Here is a 3,671-nt window from a genome sequence, read left to right on the forward strand (position 1 = left end):
AAATTCGCTCAAGTGGTGAAAAAAATCTGGAGGAACTCAGTAAAAATAAACTAAATGTAAACATTAATCAAGAAAATAGGCACATAATAGGTTTATCAATTAATTTTACCAAATGTCTAATTAACAGAAATAATGTTTTCTAAATATTTTTTAGAGTATTGTAAAATGGTAGAAAACATTCCCGTTTACCTGACAATTTTATTGTAATTTTGATTCCCAGATGGCATGGAAAAAGTCAGAAAGCCTTATTATACTGATCCCCCAAATAGAAAAGAAGAACACAGGAAAGAAGCTCAAGCTCACTTTTGAACACAAGTATAAAACTTTGTATATATTACACACACAAAAACGCTATGCACAAACATTTTTATAATTTGTTTGGCTTAGTCTGACTTAAGTAAGGGTTTTGTGGGTATGTTAGTGTATTAGTCCATTTTCACACTTCTATGAAGAACTACTTGAGACTGGATAATTTATAAAGAAGAGTTTTAATTGAGTCAGTTCCGCATGACTGGGGATGACCCAGGAAACTTACAATCATGGTGGAAGGGGAAGCTGGCACCTTATTCACAAGGTGGCAGGAGAAGGAGTGAGAGCGCAGGGAAATCTGCCATTTATAAAACCATCAGATCTCATGGGAAGGACGAAACAGCATGAGGGAAACTTTCCCCATAATCCAATCATTTTCCTTCGTCGACTTGTGGAGATCACAGGTTCCTAGACACATGGGGATTAAAGTTAAAGATGAGATTTAGATGGGGACACAGAACCAAACCATATCAATTAATCAGGGTTATATGGAGAAACAGAACCAATAGAATATACGTAAGAGACTTAAAGTAATATACGTGGAAATGGAGGCTGAGATGTCCTGTGATCTGCTTTCTGCAAGCCGGAGAACCAGGAAAGGCAATCGTATAATTCAGCTCCACTCTAAAGGCCTAAGAATTAGGGAGCTGATAGTATAACCTCCCATCTGAGGCTGAAATCTGGAGAACCAGGAGCAATTATGTCCAAGTGCAGGAGAAGATGGATGTCTCAGCTCAAATAAAGGGAATTTGCCCTTTTTCTGCCTTTTCATTCTATTCAGGCCCTCAATAGATGGAACGATGCCCCCCCACATTAGGAAAGGTCAATGTAGTCTTCTTCACCCAGTCTACTGATTCAAATGTTAATTGCTTCTGAAAACACTCTCACAGATGAACCCAGAAATACTGTTTTACCAGCTGTCTGGGAATTCCTTAGATCAGGCAAGATGACACACAAAATTGACCGTAACAGTGGAGTAAGCAAAGTTATAAAGTACTCTTGATGAAGTTGTGGGGACAGAAGGCATATAAACATGATAGACAGTCATCATATACCCCAGGAGAATGGAGGAAGTGGTTACAATTACCAATTAGATAGACTTGCCATACATGCAACAGAGAAGAACACATACAAATTCCAAATCAAAATTCACATAGATTTAGTTACCAACTATACACTTTACTGATGCTCACATCCATCATGTCTCTAAACATGACACTCTCAAGAAGTGCAGACCAAGAGTTAAACTCCTGCTCAACCCTGATGGAGCCACTGCTGCCAGTAACACGTTCAAGGCAACTCAGAGGTCCATGGAGCAAGCTGGCATGTGTTTGCTCATCTTCAAACTCTATGCAACACCAAGAAAGGACTCACCTCTCAAATATCCCATGAAGCTTGATGAGCTTTCACTCTACTCAGTTCCTAAGGGTGAATTTGAATATGTGGAGGAGTGGAGGACCCAGTTTGAAGAAAGCATCTCTCAGCTCCAACATTATTGTAGGCCATGTACAAGTTGGTGTCAGGAAACATACTCCCAAACTAATCCCAAGATGCAAAGTTTGGGTCAATGAGGGTTAGACAGCTATGAATATCTCCAAATGCACCTCCAGGATATTTTCCAAGACTTGGTGTTATTGGTTTTGCTGGCCTTTTTGGACTCCTTTTGGCAAAAGCTACAAAAATAAAGAAGAAGGTATAGCCTTCTGGGTTCATGGGATTAGCTGCCTCTATCTATTATCTACAATAATTCATTGCATTTGCCCAGGTCAGTGGGGAGAGTTTACATGGTTGGGGTTTATGAAGATACATAGTCCCAGAAGATTTGTAGGAGAACTTATCGTATGTAAAATATAATGTGTAATTGACTGTTTCTCTACACTCTGCTTTTACAAGTAAAATGCATATTCTGTGAGTACTAATCAAAGCCCCATAAGAATGTAACCACTTGTCTCATTGCCTACCCTCACCAACCATTTTTTTTCTCCTTCCTCTCCCTCTAGCTCTTTCTTCTTTAAATACTGAAGTCATCAAAACCCTCTTTGGAAAAGGCACAGACCACAGATGCTCCTGTTATTTGTGTTTTTTTCTTCTTCTTTGCTCAACATTGGCAAAATAAACCTCAAAATCAATTGAGACTTGCCTCAATCTTCTTTTTTTTTGTTTTACAACCCTATGAGGAGACCAATTATGGTAATTTAGAATCTCATTCAGAGCATCACCATTGTTATATGTTTTTTGCACTCACATGGCACAAAACTGAAAAATTATTATGCATTATAAAAATTGAAATCTTATCCTGCATTAGAACAATGGATCTTGCATATTTCATGGTCATGGTGATACTTACCGAGCATGAGTCACTAGGAGCTGGCTGCCAAAATTGCCTCCAGACTAGGACAACAATATAATTTTTCATTTGATATTGATATGAAGGATATTGTAAAACCGGCATGTGTGCATACACACATATATATAGAGGAAACTGCTCTAGAACTGAACGTTCTCAAGGGCAGAATTAGGGCAGGTGCAATAAAACATTGGCCAAGATCAACAAGTGTTGCTTTGAAAATCTTACTGAGATGTTCCCATATAATAAATGAGAGACGGAAAAGAATTTAAGGAATATTCCAAAGCTAGTAACATGGTGTATTAGTCCATTTTCACACTGCTGATAAAGACATACCCCAGACTGGGTAATCTACAAAAGAAAGAGATTTAATTGGACTTATAGTTCTATGTGACTGGGGAGGCCTCAGAATCATGACAGGAGGTGAAAGGGACTTCTTACATGGTGGTGGCAAGAGAAAATGAGGAAGAAGCCAAAGTAGAAACCCCTGATAAACCTATCAGATCTCATGAGACTTACTCACTATCACAAGAATAGCACAGGAAACACCGGACCCCATGATTCAATTACCCACCCCTTGGTCCCTACCACAACACGTGGGAATTATGGGAGATACAATTCAAGTTGAGATTTGGGTGGAGATACAACCAAGCCATATCATTCTGCCCCAGCCCCTCAAAATCTCATGTCCTCACATTTCAAAACCAATCATGTCTTCCCAACAGTCCTCCAAAGTCTTAACTCATTTCAGCATTAACCCTAAAGTCCACAGTCCAAAGTCTCATCTGAGACAAGGCAAGTCCCTTCCACCTACGAGCCTGTAAAATCAAAATCAAGTTACTTACTTCCTAGATACAATGTGAGTACATGTATTGGGTAAATACAGCCATTCAAAATGGGAGAAATTGGCCAAAACAAAGGGGTTACAGTACCCATGCAAGTCCATAATCCAGTGGGGCAGTCAAATTTTAAAGCTCCAAAATGATCTCCTTTGACTCCAGGTCTCACTTTTAGG

The 3,671-nt window shown here is 39.1% G+C and overlaps 1 pseudogene; it reads left to right on the forward strand.

The window, feature by feature from the left end:
- Positions 1,567 to 2,145, forward strand: APOOP2 (apolipoprotein O pseudogene 2; annotated as a pseudogene).

The sequence above is a fragment of the Homo sapiens genome, chromosome 3 (assembly GCF_000001405.40).
Source record: "Homo sapiens chromosome 3, GRCh38.p14 Primary Assembly".
Classification (NCBI taxonomy): domain Eukaryota; kingdom Metazoa; phylum Chordata; class Mammalia; order Primates; family Hominidae; genus Homo; species Homo sapiens.